Genomic DNA, 20,474 nt, shown 5'->3' on the forward strand with positions numbered 1-20,474 from the left:
AATGCAGTGGAAGCAACCATTTGAAAGTTGCAGAATACTTTAACAAGCTACTTTGCCTCCTGCTGACTTTGTTTCCCCATTTTTAGAACTGAAATAATAATTCTCATCAAATAAGGGTGCTATTTACATTGAGATAGTGACTATTACTATAAGTAACATTTTAGTCTCTTGACAAGCATGGGAAGCAATGGAATGAAGGGCAATGGAAGGAAGGGCACTGCATTATGAAAAGGACTTTTTAAAAGAAAACCATCTCTAGGCACTATTTCCCTTTGTGGAAATGAAGTGAATATTTTCTGAACTCCACCTGGGACATACGAACAATGAGCATGAAATCTTACAAACTGTATAAATAACATTTATTCACAGTGTCACTGCATCATCTATTGTTTTGAATTCTCTTTAAATTTCCTTCTATATATTTATCCAAAGCTGAAGTCATCTGGTTTAGATTATGGGACCCTGAAAAGCAAGAACTAGTCTATGTAACTACTTTTAAACATCTGCACAATGCCATATATATATACACACACACACACACACACACACACACACACACACACACACATATTGATATGTAACAAGTACTATTTGATTATAATTAGGAGTGTCTTGGTTTTCTTATAACATGAACATATATTTTTAACCCAAACAGCTTAAAGCATTTAACGAAAAGTTTTACACACCTACAAAGTGCTTTCAGGAAGCAGATGTGCAGTGCAATGTGGCGCAGTAAGATGCACAAAGCAAAGGCTTTGAAAATAAACTGCCTCGGTTTCAGGACCCAGCCTAACCACATATTAGCTGTACAACTTTGGGTGAATCACTTAACATCTCCAAACTTCAGTTACTTCATGTGGGAAGACTTGAAAAATAATACCTGGTCCCAAGATTTTTGTGTAATTGAGCTAATAAGCATGGAAGTACCTGGCACAGTTCCTGAGTCACCAAAAAAATGTTAGTTTTCTCTTCATCAAATCTCCCCATTCCCACCCCTCATGCTAATCTCCCCTCCCACATACACACACACCATCAGTGAGTAAATAAGTGTCTTGCGTTAAACTACAACCAGAGAATAAGAGACAGCCAAGATTTCCTTACTCTATTTCACTAGCCCTGGCAGCCTCTCAGCTGCGGAATCCTTGGTTATTTCCTTTCTCAAGGAGGAGATACTATTCTAGTTTGACAGATCCTTTCCTGGACACACTCTCAGAATTCCCTAAGGTTCTTATCGTGGCTAATGGATAACAATGCAGAGGCTATGGGAGTGAATAATCACTCTCTCTCAGCTAAAAACTTCCTTTATTGACTTCTCTAACTTCCCGTCAACATCTTGCTGCCAAATCAACCTCTTGTTCTAGGCAATTATTAAAAGCAATTTTCTTGAAACTGAAAAACACATTTAGCCTTCAACAATAAATCACACTAACATCAATTACTAGCCAATTAGATTACTAGAATATCAGACCCAGAGATATTTGCAATATTGAAATATTTTCAAAATAAAGTTGTTTACATTTCTATTTCTGTCTTTAACCCTTAAAATGCAAACAAATGCAGGAGTGAAGACAGACGTATTTTAGTTATTTCTTCTACAAGATAAAGTGAATAGTAATATTATGTTAAGAAAACACTTATTTAGTATCTAGAATGATAGCATTATCTATTCTTTATTAAAAGAGAAACTAAAAGTAATATAATTAAATAGCTTGTTCTTGTGACTTAAATAATATAAAGTTTTCATTTCAATTATGTGACAATGCTTTGTATAGCTGTATTCCAAATACATAGCATGGTGCCTAGAACATAGCAGGCAGTCAATACATTTTTACCAAATGAAATGAATAAATTACCAGTTGATTTTATACTGAGGACCAACCTATGACCTTTAATCTCTCCAAAATAAAACACACAATCCCATTATATGTGAACCATATCCACAATACCAGAATCTAAGATTCCCACTCTGAAAGAGTAACTAGAACAACTTCTTTTTGAGGCAATTCTGCTTACTTAGCACATTACTCCCCCCTACAGTTTTCCTTCTTTTGTTTTTGTACTAAGGATATTTGTATAAAAACAGGATCTTTGTTGCTTAGTAATTCATCTGCTCCAGCTGCTTGTATTCTGTTCCCAATCAAAATTCTTGGTTTTCAGCCTCCTCATCATTTTTATAAGGAGTTGAATGAATTGGCCAGGCTTGTTCCTTTCTCCCTCTCCATGGAACACCAGGCCCCAAGCTCCCCGACACTGCTCCTCTTTTTGTTTCTATCTTTGGGTTGTGTGTGCACTCTAGAACACTTGTATCAGTGAAGAGTGTAACAAAGTATTGTGCCACGCATAGTCTCTCATATATCATCTATCAGCTCATCAAAAAGTGCTCACTGATTAACAGAGGATCCCCTCCTCAGTTTCAGAATTCTCTAGCTTTAAGTTAGGGGAGGGTTACCCCAAAGTCAGAGAGGGTACATGGGAGAGGGTTGTGAAGGCCAGTAGCCCAGAGAAAATCAAGGGCAGCTGGGTGCATTTAGGTGGATAAGAAAACAATGAATTACTCCATCAAAAGCAAAAGCACAAGCACATAGGAAAGTTGATCACCTACTGTTAATGTCAATTCAGTTTAAAGCACTTTATTAACCACACATACATATTTTCCAGTGTCTAATTCTCATCGTGTTCTTTTCCATTCCAGACTTGCCTGTCCCTTTCCCAGAGCTCTGTTCCTCTTATTTCTCACTGTTTCTACAAAAGGGACAATAAACAATTTTCTAGCCACTCATCATCATAAACCCTGACATGCTAAATTATCCCCTGCTCAGTTTATGGACCACAGTGGGCCCATAAAACTCCTCCCTCACTAGCAACCCACCCCACACAAAATTCTCACTTCCCTTTTTCCTTGGGCTTCCTAAAAACAGCAATTGAGCCACACCCACTACCTCCTGTGCTAGGGGTTTGTCCCCTAATCCTGGGACACTAGGGAGCTCCTTACCTGGAAGGCAGTTGCACTCAAAAGTGAAGTCACCAGTCTGCCGACAGGTGCCTCCATTGACACAAGGTGAGGGTGCACAGGGCACATACAGGCTGTCACAGTACTGGCCTGTGAAGCCCTGAGGGCACTGGCACTGGTAGGAACCAGGCAGGTTGAGGCAGGTGCCACCATGCTGGCAGTGTCCTGGAATGTCACACTCATTGACATCAGTCTCACATTTCTGCCCTGTGAAGCCTGTGAGGCATTTGCAGGAGAACTGGTTGGCCACAGTGGTACAGGTACTTCCATTTGCACAGGGATGAGACAGGCAGGCATCCGTCCATTGGCACTCCTTACCTAAAGGAAGGATAACAAAACTCAGTACTGGCCACAGAAATAGGAGATGGCCCCATCCTCAATACCTCATTGACATCAGCGAGCTCTTGCGTGGAGAAGACCTCAACTCTTTGCATTTTACAAAAGGCTAAATCAGAGCCTCCTCAAGGTAATCTGACACAGAGCCCTCTCCAGTAACTCTCCAAGGACCTCAGCAGAGACACAAGGACTCAGTGGGTGGAGCACCTGGAGGCAATTGTAGGTTAGTCACATTGAAGCCCAATCCTGCAGGACGCTATCAGCAATAGGAGTCTGGATCCATCTACTCTCTCAGAGCTCACTGTCTTTGCATATGCTGCTCCTGTTTGAATATCAACTTCCGGGCCAGGAGCAGTGGCTCACACCTGTAATTCCAGCACTTTGGGAGGCCGAGGCAGGCAGATCATGAGGTAAGGAGTTCAAGACCAGCCCGGCCAATATGGTGAAACCCTGTCTCTACTAAAAATACAAAAATTAGCTGGGCATGGTGGCGCGCACCTGTGATCCCAGCTACTTGGAAGGCTGAGGCAGAAGAATCACTTGAACCCAGGAGGCGGAGGTTGCAGTGAGCCGAGATTGTACCACTGCACTCCAGCCTGGGCGACACAGCAAGACTCTATTTCAAAAAAAAAAAAAAAAAAATCAACTTCCCTTCTGTTTTCCTAGTGAACTCTCCCTATCTTGGCAACTGTACTCAAAAGTTCCAACCTCTGTAAAGTCATCCTTAGTGCCCCTCACATACATACATGTGCGCAAACACAGATACACCAAGTTTGCTATTTTCTTCTATTATACCACCTGCCACACTGGCAGGGTTGGGTCTCCATGGTATGCTCTCAAATCATGTCTGTTGAATGGATAAAATATATCGATATTTTCCACAAAATATAGTTACTAAATAGACCTCTGGTGATAGAAACAAGTCAATACTACTTCTGTTTCCTCTAAATGTAACACACACATATATTCTGGGAAACATTTTATTAATTGTGGCCTTGCTATAAATATCTGTTGATGTGTTTGAAAATGATGAAGGAACTCTGGGTCCCTATATAACAAATGAAATAGAAGCCATCAGGAGGACAGAGGTCTCGAAGGTATTCCGTGGACTTTCTCAAGTAGGAAAGTACCAGCACTAGCAGGAAGACTCTGACGGGTTGAAAACTAAATCATGATGGCAGGGGAAGCAAAGCAGATTCTTTGAGGCAGAAAGAGAAAGAGAAAAAAATATCCTCACAGAACTAGTAAATTTGGTATTCACATGGCTGGCTTTTTGTTGTCATTAGTCTAAGTCACTTATTATTTAAACTACAGAGATGAGAACTCCTTGAATTTTTATTATTATTATTATTATTATACTTTAAGTTCTAGGGTACACGTGCACAACATGCAGGTTTGTTACATATGTATATATGTGCCATGTTGGTGTGCTGCACCCATTAACTCGTCATTTACATTAGGTACATCTCCTAATGCTATCCCTCCCCCGTCCCACCACCCCACGACAGGCCCCGGTTTGTGATGTTCCCCTTCCTGTGTCCAAGTGTTCTCATTGTTCAATTCCCACCTATGAGTGAGAACATGCGGTGTTTGGTTTTTTGTCCTTGCAATAGTTTGCTGAGAATGATGGTTTCCAGCTTCATCCATGTCCCTACAAAGGACATGAACTCATCCTTTTTTATGGCTGAATAGTATTCCATGGTGTATATGTGCCACATTTTCTTAATCCAGTCTATCATTGATGGACATTTGGGTTGGTTCCAAGTCTTTGCTATTGTGAATAGTGCCGCAATAAACATACGTGTGCATGTGTCTTTATAGCAGCACGATTTATAATTCTTTGGGTATATATCCAGTAACGGGATGGCGAGAACTCCTTGAATTTGTTAATACTCCAGTTGATTGTCTAGGAAAGTATCTAAATCTCTGACCTCATAGAAAGGTAAATGGGAGACACAAGAGTTTTTCTATAAGGGAAAAAGATGCGAGATGTGACATATGAGCACAGAAAAGTGCTCTCTGCCTATCAAGGAATGTCAAATCAAAGGAGAAAACTATAACACAAATTTAGGCACAGCATATACATCTCAGGGAGCTAAGACAGAAAATGAAGGAACTGCAATTCTTCTTGTCTTTCCACTCATGTCACTAAGAGGCACTTATTTACAGTGGAGAAGAGATATAAATGCTCACTTCTAGCAAGTGTGATTTTCAGAGTGATGCCCACAACTGAAACAGAAAGATCCCTGGGCCGGAAGTGGTGGCTGATGCCTGTAATCCCAGCACTTTGGGAGGCTGAGGTGGGCAGATCACTTGTGGTTAGGAGTTTGAGACCAGCCTGGCCAACATGGTGAAATGCCATCTTTTCTAAAAATACAAAAATTAGCCGGGCTTTATGGCGCATGCCTGTAATCCCAGCTACCTGGGAGGCTGAGGCACAAGAATCACTCGAACCCAAGAGGTGGAGGTTGCAGTGAGCCGAGACTGCGCCACTGTACTAAGCAACAGAGTGAGAAGAAAGACAGACAGAAAGAGAGAGGGAAAGAGAGAGAAAGAGAGAAAGAGAGAGAAAGAAAGAAAGAAAGAAAGAAAGAAAGAAAGAAAGAAAGAAAGAAAGAAAGAAAGAAAGGAAGGAAGGAAGGAAGGAAGGAAGGAAGGAAGGAAGGGAGAAAGGAAGGAAGGAAGGGAGAAAGAAAGAAAGAATCAACCCTGAATTTGGTTTCCATATATATTATGTATAGGCACTAACTTGCTGCCTCTGCTTCTTCATCTCTGAGTGGAGATGAGCTAGTAAGCTGACTGAGGTATAGTGCTATCACAAAAACCAAAAGGATGACTTTGATCTGTGATGATTCCTAAAGTGATAGACAAAAATAGCATATGTATAAAAGATGATCAGAATCGGCCGGGTGTGGTGGCTCACACCTGTAATCCCAGCACTTTGGGAGGCCGAGGCAGGTGGATCATGAGGTCAGGCGATCCAGACCATTGTGGCTAACAAGGTGAAAGCCCATCTCTACTAAAAATACAAAAATTAGCCGGGCATGGCGGTAGGTGCCTGTAGTCCCAGCTACTCAGGAGGCTGAGGCAGAAGAATGGCGTGAACCCGGGAGGTGGAGCTTGCAGTGAACCGAGATTGTGCCCTGCACTCCAGCCTGGACGACAAAGCAATACTCCATCTCAAAAAAAAAAAAAAAAAAAAGGTGATCAGAATCTTGCAGAACACACCAAGAAGAGATCCTTCTTAACAACAAAGGAAGAAGTTTTAATTTGGGACCATTTCAGAGTGACATTTTAATTATGAAGAAGGCATTACTGTCATTTCCACTAGCCAGAATTAAAATATTTTAAGTGGGTATATGCCCCCCTACTTTGCCTCCTAATAGCAAAACAACTCAAAACTGACAATCAGGAAGAAATTATTCTTATAACACCAAATATTTTCAGTGACTTACATCATCAATACCATCATCGTCATGATGGAGATAATGGATCATCCTAACTACCCTCTACCCCACCAACACCTTTTGATGAATGATATGGTTTGGTAGTGTCCCCACCCAAATCTCAACTTGAATTGTATCTCCCAGAATTCCCATGTGTTGTGGGAGGGACCCAGTGGGGTAACTGTATCATGGGGGCCAGTCTTTCCTGTGCTATTCTCATGATAGTGAATAAGTCTCATGAGATCTGATGGGTTTCTCAGGGTTTCTGCTTTTGCTTCTTCCTAATTTTCTCTTGCCACCACCACGAAAGAAGTGCCTTTTGCCTCCCACCATAATTCGGAGGCCTCCCCAGCCATATGGAACTGTAAGTCCAATTAAACCTCTTTTCTTTCCGGTCTCGGGGATATCTTTATCAGCAGCGTGAAAATGGACTAATACAGTAAATTGGTACCAAGAGTGGGGTTTTTGCCAGAGTGCCAACTATCCCGAGGGAAACTTTGGAGGGAACCAGCTACTAGATGGTTCAATTAGTCTTTCGCCCCTACACCCAGGTTGGATGACCGATTTGCACATCAGGACTGCTACGGACCTCCACCAGAGTTTCCTCTGGCTTTGCCCTGCCCAGGCAGAGTTCACCACCTTTCAGGTCCTAACATTTGTGCTCATGCCCCAACTTCCCAGTGCAGAAAACAAGATGGGCCGGTGGAAAGCTGACCTGGCTACTGCCACTACAGAGTGCCCAATTTGCCAGCAGCAGAAACCAACACTGCACCTTTGATATGGCACTATTCCTCAGGGTGATCAGCCAGCTACTTGGTGGCAGGTTGATTATGTTGGACTTCTTCCATTGTGAAAAGGGCAGATGTTTGTCCTTACTGGAATAGACACTTACTCTGGATATGGGTTTGCCTATCCTGCATGCAATGGTTCTGCCAAGACTACCATCCGCGGACTCATGGAATGCCTTATCCACTGTCATGGTATTCCACACAGCATTGCCTCTAACCAAGGCATTCACTTTATGGCTAAAGAAGTGCAGCAGTGGGCTCATGCTCATGGAATTCACTGGTCTTACCATGTTCCCCAACATCCTGAAGCAGAACGGTGGAATGGCCTTTTGCAGTCACAATTACAATGCCAACTAGGTGAGAATACTTTGCAGGGTTGGGGCAAAGTTCTCAAGAAGGCTGTGTATGCTCTGAATCAGCGTCCAATATGTGGTACTGCTTCTCCCATAGCCAGGATTCACAGGTCCAGGAATCAAGGGGTGGAAATGGAAGTGGTACCACTCACCATCACCCCTAGTGATCCACTAGCAAAATGTTTGCTTCCTGTTCCCGCAACATTAAGTTCTGCTGGCCTAGAGGTCTTAGTTCCAGAGGGAGGAATGCTGCCACCAGAAGACACAACAACAATTCCATTAAACTGGTAGTTAAGATTGCCACCAGGACACTTTGGGTTCCTACCTTTAAGTAAACAGGGTAAGAAAGGCGTTACAGTGTTGGCTGGGACATCAAGGCTATCAAGACCCAGGCTATCAAGATGAAATCAGTCTACTACTCCAGAACGGAGGTAAGAAAGAGTATTCATGGAATACAGGAGATCCATTAGGGCGTCTCTTAGTATTACCATGCCCTGTGATTAAGGTCAATGGGCAACTACAACAGCCCAATCCAGGCGGAACTACAAATGGTCCCACCTGGATGAATGAAGGTTTGGGCCTCTCCATCAGGAAAAAAAAAAACATAACCTGCTGAGGTGTTTGCTGAAGGCAAAAGGAATACAAAATGGGTAGAAGAAGGTAGTCATCAATACCAGCTACTACCATGTGACCAGCTGCAGAAATGAGGACTGTAATTGTCCTCAGTATTTCCTCCTTCTTTTATTAAAAACATGTCTGTGCTTGCACACACTTGTACTAAGAAAATATCTTCATTTTATTTCCTTTCTCCTTTATCATGTGACATAAGATTTATTGACTTCACATCAGCATTTAAGTATCGTTAACTTTATGTAAGAGTGTTTCAGCTGGGGACTGGTGTGTTTCCGGATGTATGAAGAATAGTTGTACTACATCAGGTGTAATTATGACCTAATTATTGTCTTTATTTGAAGATTATGTGTGATCTCAGGAGATGTGTATGGGTTCAAGTTGACAAGGGGTAGATTTGTGGTGGTTAAAACTGAGTGTGTCAACTTGATTGAATTGAAGGATACAAAGTATTGATCTTGGGTGTGTCTGTGAAGGTGTTGCCAAAGGAGATTAACATTTGAGTCAGTGGGCTGGGGAAGGCAGACCCACCCTTAATCTGGATGGACACCATTTGATCATCTGTCAGTAAATATAAAGCAGGCAGAAAAACATGAAAAAGCGAGACTGGCCTAGCCTCCCAGCCTACATCTTTTTCCCGTGCTGGATGTTTCCTGCCCTCAAATATCGAACCCCAAGTTCTTTGGTTTTGGAACTCAGACTGGCTCTCCTTGCTCCTCAGCCTGCAGACAGCCTATTGTGGGACCTTGTGATCATGTGAATTAATACTTAACAAACTCTCCTTTATATATATATAAAGATTGCCAATATATATATATTAAGATTGCCACCAAGACACTTTGGGTTGGAATATATATACATACATATATATTCCATTAGTTCCATCCCTCTAGAGAACCCTAATACAATGAAAAATTAATATAACAGTATTCTACACTAACTGATCCAGTATAGTTTTCTGAGTACATTTTTCACTTTTTTGCTTATTGCATTTATAGAACTCTTGGTTTAGTGCTTAAAGCAGGAGAAAAAATGAAGAATGTTCCTCCTTTTCTCATCTAATTTAATAAACACTTTTGAATAAAGCTCAGACCCACCTAGAAAAACCCACAATCTATTCAGGTGAGATATGTGTAAAAAAAAATTACAATAAAATGTGATACATAAAACTAATAAAACTTAGAGACCATTTGCCTAAAGGAATCATGAAAGGGTCACTAAGACACAGTTTTAAATAACATTGGACAATCACCAGTTGTAGAAAAGGGCATTCCAGGCAAAAGGGTGTGTAACTGTATGGAAGCAATAATAAGTACAACATTTTCAGGAAATAAGGAGAATTTGGTGTGACTAGGCCTAGATGCTTGTGGGGAGGCCAGGCTACAAAAAGATGTAAAGTCTAGGCTGTAGAGAGCTATGGAAGTCATGTAAAAGAGTTTGCAGTTTATTCTGCGGATGATGAAAAAATATTAGACATTGTAAGCAGGTGAGATTGTTAGAATATTTGCATTTATAATCAAAGATGTAGTAATATCATGGGTGAATGAGATGGGGAGAGAATAAAGGCAAGAAAACGTATTCAGAAACTATTTCAGAAGTCCAGGTGAGAGATAACATGGCCCTCAACTACAGGGTAGCAGAGGAAATGGGAGGAATAGACAGGTGAAAGGCAACTCAGAGGTTGGCTTGGGTGACTGAGTTGAAATGAGGTCAGAACAAGGGACAGGGAGTTTCTAGCGTGGGTATTTGGGATGTACATGGTTGCTACGTATTTCTGTCAACAAGGTGAGCTGAAAGTACCTGTAGAATATCTCCAAGGAGAACATACAAAGGATAGCTAGAAACATGAGCCTGAATGTCAGGGTTGGGTGGAGCTAAGGGAATGATGGTGAGATTCATCAGCAAGCTAATGAAGACAGTGGCAGTGGAGGCGAATACAGACAGTGAAATTCCCTAGGGAGAGCTGTGATGTGGCTCAAAAGAGGGCGAAAAACAGTGCTCCAGGGAGCACAAACATTTAATGGATAAGAACAAGGTAATGAAGAAGCAAAAGGAACAGGGTTCAGAAAACCAGAAAAGCCAGTGCCCTGAATGTCTAGGGAGGGAGATTTCTAAAAGCAAATAGTCAATAACTTCAGCAACTTTTCCTCTGGTGACAGTGTACTTATTTCTTTTAGTGAAGTAAACTCTGATTCCCCATCCTGGTGTACATATTTTTTTTTTGAGACAGGGTCTCACTCTGTCACCCAGGCTAGAATGCAGTGGTGCGATCATAGCTCACTGCAGCCTCAAACTCCTGGGCTCAAGCAATTCTTCCACTTCAGCCTCCCAAGTAGTTAGGACTACAGGTGCACACCACCACACATGACTAATTTTGTTTTATTTTTATTCTTGTTTTTTTGTAGAGATGGGGTCTTGCTGTGTTTCCCAGGCTGGTCTCAAACCTCTAGCCTCAAGTGATCCTCCTGCCTTGGCCTGCCAAAGTGCTGGGATTGCAAGCGTGCACCACCGCACCTGGCCCTGACATATATACTTTAAGCAGTCAAAGTATTTGGTACTTTTTCTTTCTCTTTCTCTGCCCCCTGAAACTCTTAAAAGGAAGTTAGGGATAGTTGTCTGGAACATCCCAGTTCCTTATCATAATGTTAAATGTGCACCAGAGCTGGGGGACATTTAAGAGCCAGACACCATGATCTAAAAGATGCTAAATAAAGGTATCTGCTGAAGGTAGGAAACCACTGGCTTTGGTCTCATTAGTTACCTGTAAACCCGACTTGACAGGTGCACTCATAGGTATCCCGGCTGAGCATATGGCATGTGCCGCCATTCAGGCAGGGTCGAGACACAAAGCATGGATGAGATGTTGAGTACTGGCAGTCCTCTCCTGTAAACCCTGAGGCACATCGGCACGTGGCTTTCCCCAGCATGGCCTGGGCCACACAAGTCCCACCATTCTGGCAGCGGTTCTTCTCACAGGGGTCTCGATGTTGACAATATTCCCCCAAGAAGCCTTCTGGACATCTGTATGGAAAAGAGAAGAGTCCATGAAAACACCTGACTTCTTGTAAGTCCAAAAAATTACAGTAAAACAATACAGTCCAATCAAGAAAGCACGAGATTGTGAATCAACAGACCTACAAGGACCACCTATAAAACTGCTTCCCTTTAGAAGAAAGAGTCCTTAGAGAACTTAACCACATACTCCCATGTCCTTTTGAGTCCTGGCAGGTGACAGAGTATCAGGTGTATGGTCTAGCAGGGTCTGCCATGGCCAGTCAACATGACCCTTATTCAAACGCAAAATGCACCCCAGCTTTTTTTCATGTGTGTACAGGTTGGGATGGTGTAACAGCACCTTTTTTAGAGCACTGTTCGTACTTGTCTGCTTAAATTCATTAACTTTCTCATTTTGACTAAGCCATTTGATAGGATTAAGATGTCCACAATATAATGCATGAACTTGACCCTATTATCCCCTCCAATTTAAAATATGTAAGATATCATGTGCTTTTCCTCAATTAAGCATTGAGAAATAGTAAGCGCTTCTTTCTCTTATTTCCACTGAAACATCAATTGGCTGATACCTAGTTTTCTGGGTTATGTTCAGGTGGCTGACATTACAACGGAAAAAGGGAAAGGAGGTACAGGAATGGGGAAGAGTTCAAAGGGATATTTAAAAATCTGTTAATATTTAAGTAGTAGGCATTTTTAACCAAATAAAAAGGCACAAAATATAATTAAAATAACATAAAATATCTAAGATACCATATAAACACCAAAGTGAAGGAAGGAATCAATTGAAGAATAACATTCTATGATATTTTCCACATTGAGGCACTGAGGAACCTTTTTACATGCCACCCCTTGATTCATAAGATGTACAACCATTTCAAACTGTGTGTATTATTTATGACAATTTTCTCTGAACAATATCAAAAAGGCATGGTAAGTCTCCATTTTCATAATGAAGTTGTTTAAATGGAATCTCTGAGAAGCATTTAAATTAAGAAACACAAACACTTTGATTCTAACTATAAATGCTGCTATATATTTGGCTGGTGCCCCAAATATGTGATTCAACTTATTCCTCGTTTTAGTTTTCAGGGACTAGAAAACTGAATCTAGTAGGCTGTTCCACCATTACCTCAAAGATTACACATTTAAACCAAACTCTAAATCCCCCTCTCAAAAACCAGCTCTTCTGTGCCCAAGCCTTGTTGTCCTGATTTTCCTAATCATTGTGACCTGAAACACTGGGGTCATGAGTGCTTTTGTCTTTGACAGTCATATCCAAGACCTTTCATTAACCATTGGTTGGCAAGGCTAGCTAGCAGGGGTCACAGTTACTGAGAAAAGAAGGAAGGCCAGATACGAGGGAACTAAGACAGAAAATGCCCAGAAGAATTGTGCGGTAGCTAAAATGGCTAAAGGAGAAAACAGGGTGGTGAATAGCTATAGTGGTAGTGAGGTAACTGGCCACAGCCTCTTCACCCCTCCCAGAGCTGCATAAGATAAGCATGGCGGAGCAAGGAGCGGCTAAGGCTCTGGGCATCTTCATGAGTAGGTGTAGCTACAGACCAACAGGCAGTGAAGAAAGTTCATAGCACTGAAACCAAAGATGGCATGCAGGTGACTGTGAGGAGTCTGTATCAAGAAGGTCAGAAGGTCTGGTTTGGAGTTCTGGTGCTGTGACCTTGGACAAGTTACTTATCTTCACTGACTATCCATTTTCTCACATTGTAAATAGTTAATAAGGTCACCTACATCATGAGATTATTCTAAGAACTGAACAAAATCAAGTATGTAAAAAACCTTATAAATGTTAAAAAGTTTTGCAAGTGGGCTGGGCACAGTGGCTCACACCTGTAATGCCAGCACTTTGGGAGGCTGAGGTGTGAGGACCATCTGAGGTCAGGAGTTTGAGAATAGCCCGGCCAACATGGTGAAACCCTGGCTCTACTAAAAATACAAAAATTAGCCAGGGTGGTGGTGCACGCTTGTAATCCCAGCTACTCGGGAGGCTGAGGCATGAGAATTGCTTGAACCCGGGAGGCGGAGGTTGCAGTGAGCCAACGAGATTGTGCCACTACACTCCAGCCTGGGCAACAGAGTGAGATTCCATCTCAAAAAAAAAAGTTTTGCCAAGTGAAAACATCTTTTCTGTCTTCTTTGTGCTTATTGAGGAAAATACAATGCCCCATCCAAATCACAGCTTGATTTGAGAATAGTTTCTTGTGTTGGTTTTTTGAAGTGGAGGAGCAAAAAGTGCCAATGTAGCATAGCTAAAATTAACTCTGAGATATATTATTAAAAGCATTTGCAGCTTATTCAAGAAATGTGTTATGAATGTTAAAAACTGCAACACAATTCTCACTCACAGTGCAGCCCTCTGGGCATTATTAGATGACTCTTCATTCTCCCATATGGGAATTATGCACCTTCTAAATAATGGCAAATTTTTAAACGTGGGTGGGCTTTGCTCAGCTTTGCTCCTGAACTATTACACCACCCTAACACTATCATGTGGCATATGCTAAGAGAATGCAAAGTCATTTAAATGGTAGCATCATAAACATATAATGGAAATATAAGGTTCCCAGGAAAACAAAAATGAAGCAAAATGGAAGTTTCTAAAGCTAAACAGATGTATTTCTGAATTATTTGTTTCTACAGTTTAATTCACATTGTTGCTCCCTATCAAGTATGGAAAAATAAGTTTTAACCTAAGATATATTTAAGAAATCAGTAAAACCAGAGATTGACAAAGTACAGTTTGCAAGTCTAATTTGGACCACTGCCTGTTTTTGTTTGGCCTGTGAATAGTTTTTTACATTTTTAAATGATTAGAAAAAAAGAACAAAAGAAGGATATTTTCTGACATTTCAAAATTATATACAATTCAAATTTCAGTGTCCATAAATAGTCTTACTGGAACACAGCCATGCTCATTCATTTATAGATTGTCTATGGCTGATTTTCCACTACAACAACAGAGTCAAGTAGCTGTAATGAGACCACAAAGCCTGCAAAAATAATTACTCTCTGGCACTTTACAGAAAAAGTTTGCCAACTTCTGAGTAGAGAACATATGAAGGCTAATTCTATAAATACCATCCAATATGCTTATTAATAATGATCGGTTTCTGATAGGAAATCAACCTTATTAGTTTCCACAAAGAATATTAAACTTATAATCATTCATTCACACAACAATTAGTAAATGCCTATTATGTGCCAGGCATTTTTCCAGTGCTAGAAAAATTCTTACACTCTTGGAGTTTACATTCTAATAGCTGAAGACGAAAACAAAATTACTAAGTAAAAGATGCACAATAGATGGAGTTAAGTGCTGTGAAAAAAAATTAAACAGGAAGGAATGGAGCTGGGGATGAGGGTGTGGGGTGAGCAAAGAGAAGTATCTCAGTTTAGAATAGGAAAATCAGAGAAGACCTTCACTGACAATACTTGAGTTGAGACCTAAATAAGGTGAGAGTAATCATGCAGGTATCTTAGGGAAACACATTCATGAGAAAGGGAACAGCAAATGCAAAGGCCATAACACAGAGAGCAGCCCTAGCGTGTCTGAGAAACAGCAAGAATATCTGGAGCAGCAGAAAATAGATGAGAGCTGTAACTGGGATGTGGATCAATTGGGGCCTTTAAGCCACTGTAAAGAAAGACTTAGGGTTTTCCTCTAAATGGGATAATACTTACATATGAGGTACAACAGACTTACTCTCCTAAAGCCCATGTACAGAACCATATATTTGCTTTATGTGAAACTAGACCTACTGTATTAATAAAGTTTGATTTCTATTTAAAATGTTTTAGAGGGCTGGACATCAGCTTAGTTCTTTACTTTTACCTTAGAAGATATACAAGTCTCTTTTAACCCACACTTTCATGAGGTCCCATTTCCCTTTCCAAATTATTGTTTCACAGCTAACCTTCTATGACTGTAGCCTAATTTCAGATATTTCTCTTTCTTTTCCATCTACTTCTTACTTATCCCTCCGCAACAAAACTTTAATTCTAATTATTGCTTAGAAACTGTTTTCTAAAAACAATGACTTTCCTCTAGTCAAGTTCAGTGGTCTCATCTGAAACTTCATAAGGAAATTCTCTCTCCTATAGGGAGAATTGCTAACCACTCCACGCACCGTTTTAATCATTTTACCTTGGCTTCTATGACTCCCTCTGTCTAACTCAAAACCCAGTGAAGTCTTAGTCTGGATTGCTGATTTCTCCTTCTTCCCCATCTATTATGGCCACCCTAATGTTTAAGTCTGGACTGCACTGCTCTTTCTCTCAAATGCATTTGTTACTGTTGTTGTTCACTTGGTTTTAAACAACTTCCTTCCTGTAACTGACTCCAAAATACACTGTTCCAGTCCCATATGTTCAGTTTTCTAGAAGTCATCTCTCTATCCTAATATGTGCTGCCACTATTTGAAACTAAACATTTGTAAGAGGAGATCATCTTCCCAAGAAACTTTAATTATTCAATTTTTCTAAGGCTTCCACACACAATTTAAAGTAACTTCATCTCTTTAAGTTGTATATAATTTATTACCACATTCTGACAAGACTTGTTAACTGAATTCCTATAATACTTATCATTCGTGTTCACAGTTTCCTTTTTGATACAAATTCTGATCATCTTAAAAGCCTCAGGCCAGACATCATCTTGTTGCTGGCTTTTCCTCCATTTCCAGCCATCCTTGGAATAACAGAACCTTCAGATTCAAGAAATTTAATTTCTATCCAATTAAGTAATCATTTCTAAAATATTTCTAAAAGATGATCACCAGCCTCTGCTTGAATACAAGCATGTAGCATGGTGCCGGATAAATCTTAAGAATTTAATAAATGCTTGGAGTTATTATTGTTCTGCTCTTAAGAGTACAGACTCTGGAACCAGACCACCTGGATTTCAATCCCAACTCCACCATTTACTCAATGTGTAATCTTGGGCAAGGTACTAAACTTCCCTGTTGTAAAAGAGATGTAATAACAGTGCCTACTTCATAGGATTTTTAAATAAGGGTAAAGCACTTAGAACACTATCCAGCACATAGTAAACACTATGCATTTGTTAAGTGAAATTACTGGCTGACTACTTCAACAAAAGAACAGTCTTCAATGTGGGTGGATCCCACTGTGAGAAAGCTCTTTCTTTCTTAATTCTTCAAATTCTGCCTCCCTTCCTAGGTATATACCCGAGATAACTGAAAACATATGCCCAGATAATAAAAATGTTCATAGCAGCATTATTCATAATAGCTAAAAAGTAGAAACAACCCAAATGCCTATAAGCTGATGAACAGATAAATAAAATGTGGTATATCCATAAATGAAATATGTGGCCATGAAAAGGAATGACATTCTGATACATGCTACAACATGCATGAACCTTGAAAACATGCTAAGTGAAAGAAGCCACACACAAAAGGCCACATATTATATAATTCCATTTATATGAAATGTCCAGAATATGCAAAACCGTAGAGATAGAAAGTAGATTAGTGTTGCCAGGAGCTGTAAAGAAAGGGAAATAGACAGTGACTACTAAGCAGTAGAGAATTTCTTTCAGGGTGATAAAAATGTTTCGAAATTAGATAATGGTGGTGGTCTCATAACTCTGGAAATACTAAAGTCTACTAAATTAAACACTTTAAAAGGGTAAATTTTATGATACATAAATTATGTCTTAACTTTGAAAAGAACAAACTTTGTCTCTCTACAATTTCCAGGTTATCTCTACCCTCTAGAACAAAAAAGAACAAGCCTTCTGCTTCTCTTACACGTAGCCCTTCAAGAATCTGAAGACAGTTATGTGGGCCTTTTGTTTTCTTTTTTCCAGGATTCAATGGTTTGGCGTATTCCTCAGTATAGGGTTATTTCCAGGTTTCTTCACCTTTTTAGTGGTGCTTCTATGCTTAATAGTAGTCATAATAATCAGAATGACCAAAATTTTCTGCCTCCCTTCCCAGGTATATACCCGAAGTAACTGAAAACATATTTTCTAAGTACTTAACTATGTATTGTATATTTGCTAAGCATTTGATAGCTATTGTCTCTTGTATTACTCGCTCCAGTGCTATATTATAATCTCCATTTTATATATGAGGAACTCGAAGCTTAGAAAGATTAAGATTTTACAGCTAGGCCGGGCGCGGTGGCTCACACCTGTAATCTCAGCACTTTGGGAGACCGAGGCAGGCAGATCACCAGGTCAGGAGATCGAGACCATCCTGGCTAACACAGTGAAACCCTGTCTCTACTAAAAATATAAAAAATTAGCCAGGCGTGGTGGCGGGCGCCTGTAGTCCCAGCTACTCGGGAGGCTGAGGCAGGAGAATGGCATGAACCCAGAAGTTGGAGGTTGCAGTGAGCCAAGATCGCGCCACTGCACTCCAGCCTGGGCGACAGAGCGAGACTCCCTCTCAAAAAAAAAAAAAAAAAAAAATTCACAGCTAGTAGATGGAAGAGGCAGGATTCAAACCCAAGTAGACTCTAGAGTGCGTGTGCTTCAACACTAGGCTATCCTGCCTCCCCATCACTGGATGACTCCAGTTCATCAAAAACCTCTTTAAAAAGTGAGGCTCAAAATGGAAAAAGGCTTAACACATGTTCTTACCAGTGCAGCACAGAGCTGAACCATGACCTCCTGATCTGGACACTATGCTTTTACTATTTCAGAGTAAGTTCTTAAACTGAGGAGGCATCGTGAGAGCGCAGTTCAAGAAAGAATAATGCTCCGACTCATACCCAATGGATATGTGTACTTTTTTAGAAGCCACAAAATACTACTATGTGCTATGGAATACACACTCAGCTAAAATATTCAGAGCCTTATTTCACATGAACTACTAGTGTACCCTATTTTTCTCATCTTATACTTGTAGCACATGTTTTTTGAACCCAATAATTGGAACTGTCATTCATTCCTTTTAAATCCATCATATTGAGTCTTTACTCCAAGTTTCCTTGATTGAGACAACTTTTACATTATACTCATACAATCACAGAATTTCAGCAGTGATCTCAGAAACCAAATGGTCTGAACCCCTATAGCACTGAAAAGGACACCAAAGCTAACTGATTTGCCCAAAGTTGGTTATCTGTGAATCTAGCAATTTCCCCAGTTTTACAAATATATCCCTATCTTCACCTAGACCTTGCAATGAAATAGTACTTAACTGAAAGTGTATGACTAAGTCTTGCCCCAAGACTAGCACCTATTCAATCAGCTCTAACATCCTAAATGGACCAGCATCCTATCCATACCTCTCCTCTCCCTAAGGACAGTCTGGAAATTCCTTGCTGAACCTAAGCATATGACTAAAAGAATAATCTTTCCTAAGCATAATTTTCATGTCATTCTTCTGCTCAGAAACTAGCAACAGTATTAATACCAAGCCTTTCAAATCCAAGTTCTTTACAATCTCTGATCTGCCTGTCTGTCCCATTCCAATCATCTAACCATCTTACTCTTTAGTAATCCATAACTCGAACACTCCATATTATTTCCACAATCTTGTTTACTGTCCCCTATATTAAAATCTTTTTAATTTCCAGTGAGAAACATCATGCTTCCCTTCTGGTATATCTCCAACTTAGGTTCCTTTCTTCCACCCTTTTTTCAAAAATCTGCTGTAAACCTGTCCTATAGTAAGCCTTCTACAAATCATCCCACCTATCTCTGATCCTTCCAACAGCAGATGTAGTGCCATGTCATGCACTACATTGTCTCCACTGGTATGGTTCTTCTTTATTTAAGCCACTGTTATGTCTTTGCTGTACCTTTCTCAAACTCCCATCTAGATAGTTTTTGTGGGGAAGAGCCTGTCTTGAACCCTTGGTGTAGGTTCCCTGAATACCTGAGTACCTAAACCCCACTAAGCAGCTGGTTCCAAAGCAGGCTAAATTTCATGTGATGGATAAAGTCAGTCTCTCAATCCAAATGTTCCACAAAATCCATCTCTACTCTGTGATCTGTCTGGTAGAATAACAGGCCAAATCAACCTAATAGTCATCCTGAGGTACAGAATTATCCTTCACACCCCAGGAAGCTAAGCAGCATTATGGACATGGGAAGAAAGGGGAGTAATAGGTAAGACAGTCAGAAATAACAGACCCTTGTTTCCTAAGGCAGGAGATCTTTCAACTTGCAAATCCCTGTTCAACTGTGGTATAAGGAGAAAATATACTCTGTTAGTCTTGGTGGAAAGTAAGGTTCTCTGCTTGAAAACAAGGGCTTAAATAGCTGTCTTCTTGAGATGGCTAAAGTTGAATTTGGTTAGAGAGTGAAAACATGGCTAAACACCCAACAACCCTTACATATCTATAATTCCATTAAGCTACCCAGCACACATTTTGGAAAATAGTCTACCACTTGAACTAAAGGTGTATATTCTAAAAAATAACCACAAAAATCTAACAGATGCCTTTCATCCGCAAAACTATATGAATGTTTTCCTCCTGTAGGGAGTTTATTAATTATTTTCATAACTGTCTCTTCAATGTCTCTCAGTGACTTTTACTTACTCTCTCTTCTCTAGCATTGAACTCTGAAAGAACATACTTCACAGATGAGGTTGTGAATACAGAGAAAGGTTTGGGGAGCATTTTTCCATTTTAAACTCCATAAACTAATCTGAATACTTACCAGGTCCATAAAGATGTATTTATGACTTTTTCTTTAAAAGTCTCAGCTGGGCACAGTGGCTCACACCTGTAATCCCAGCACTGTGGGAGGCCAAGGCAAGCAGATTGCTAGAGCAGAAGTTCGAGACCTGCCTAGACAACACGGGCAACATGGTGAGAACCCCATCTCAAAAAAAAAAAAGTGTCATTTCTGACATTGAGAGGTCCACATTTCCATTGTTACTGTTCAAACATACGCATG

General features: G+C 40.4%; 1 protein-coding gene across 2 annotated transcripts in view; it reads right to left on the reverse strand.

The window, feature by feature from the left end:
- NOTCH2 (notch receptor 2) overlaps positions 1–20,474 on the reverse strand; it is a 158,110-nt gene that overhangs the window by 82,452 nt on the left and 55,184 nt on the right. For both annotated transcript variants that reach the window (NM_024408.4, NM_001200001.2), the window contains exons 3-4: positions 11,325–11,584; positions 2,993–3,328 (exon numbers count right to left, since the gene is read on the reverse strand). In NM_024408.4, the coding sequence (NP_077719.2) occupies positions 2,993–3,328; positions 11,325–11,584 (596 nt within the window). The remainder of the gene's footprint in view (positions 1–2,992; positions 3,329–11,324; positions 11,585–20,474) is intronic.

Source organism: Homo sapiens, chromosome 1 (assembly GCF_000001405.40).
Source record: "Homo sapiens chromosome 1, GRCh38.p14 Primary Assembly".
NCBI classification, from domain to species: Eukaryota; Metazoa; Chordata; class Mammalia; order Primates; family Hominidae; genus Homo; species Homo sapiens.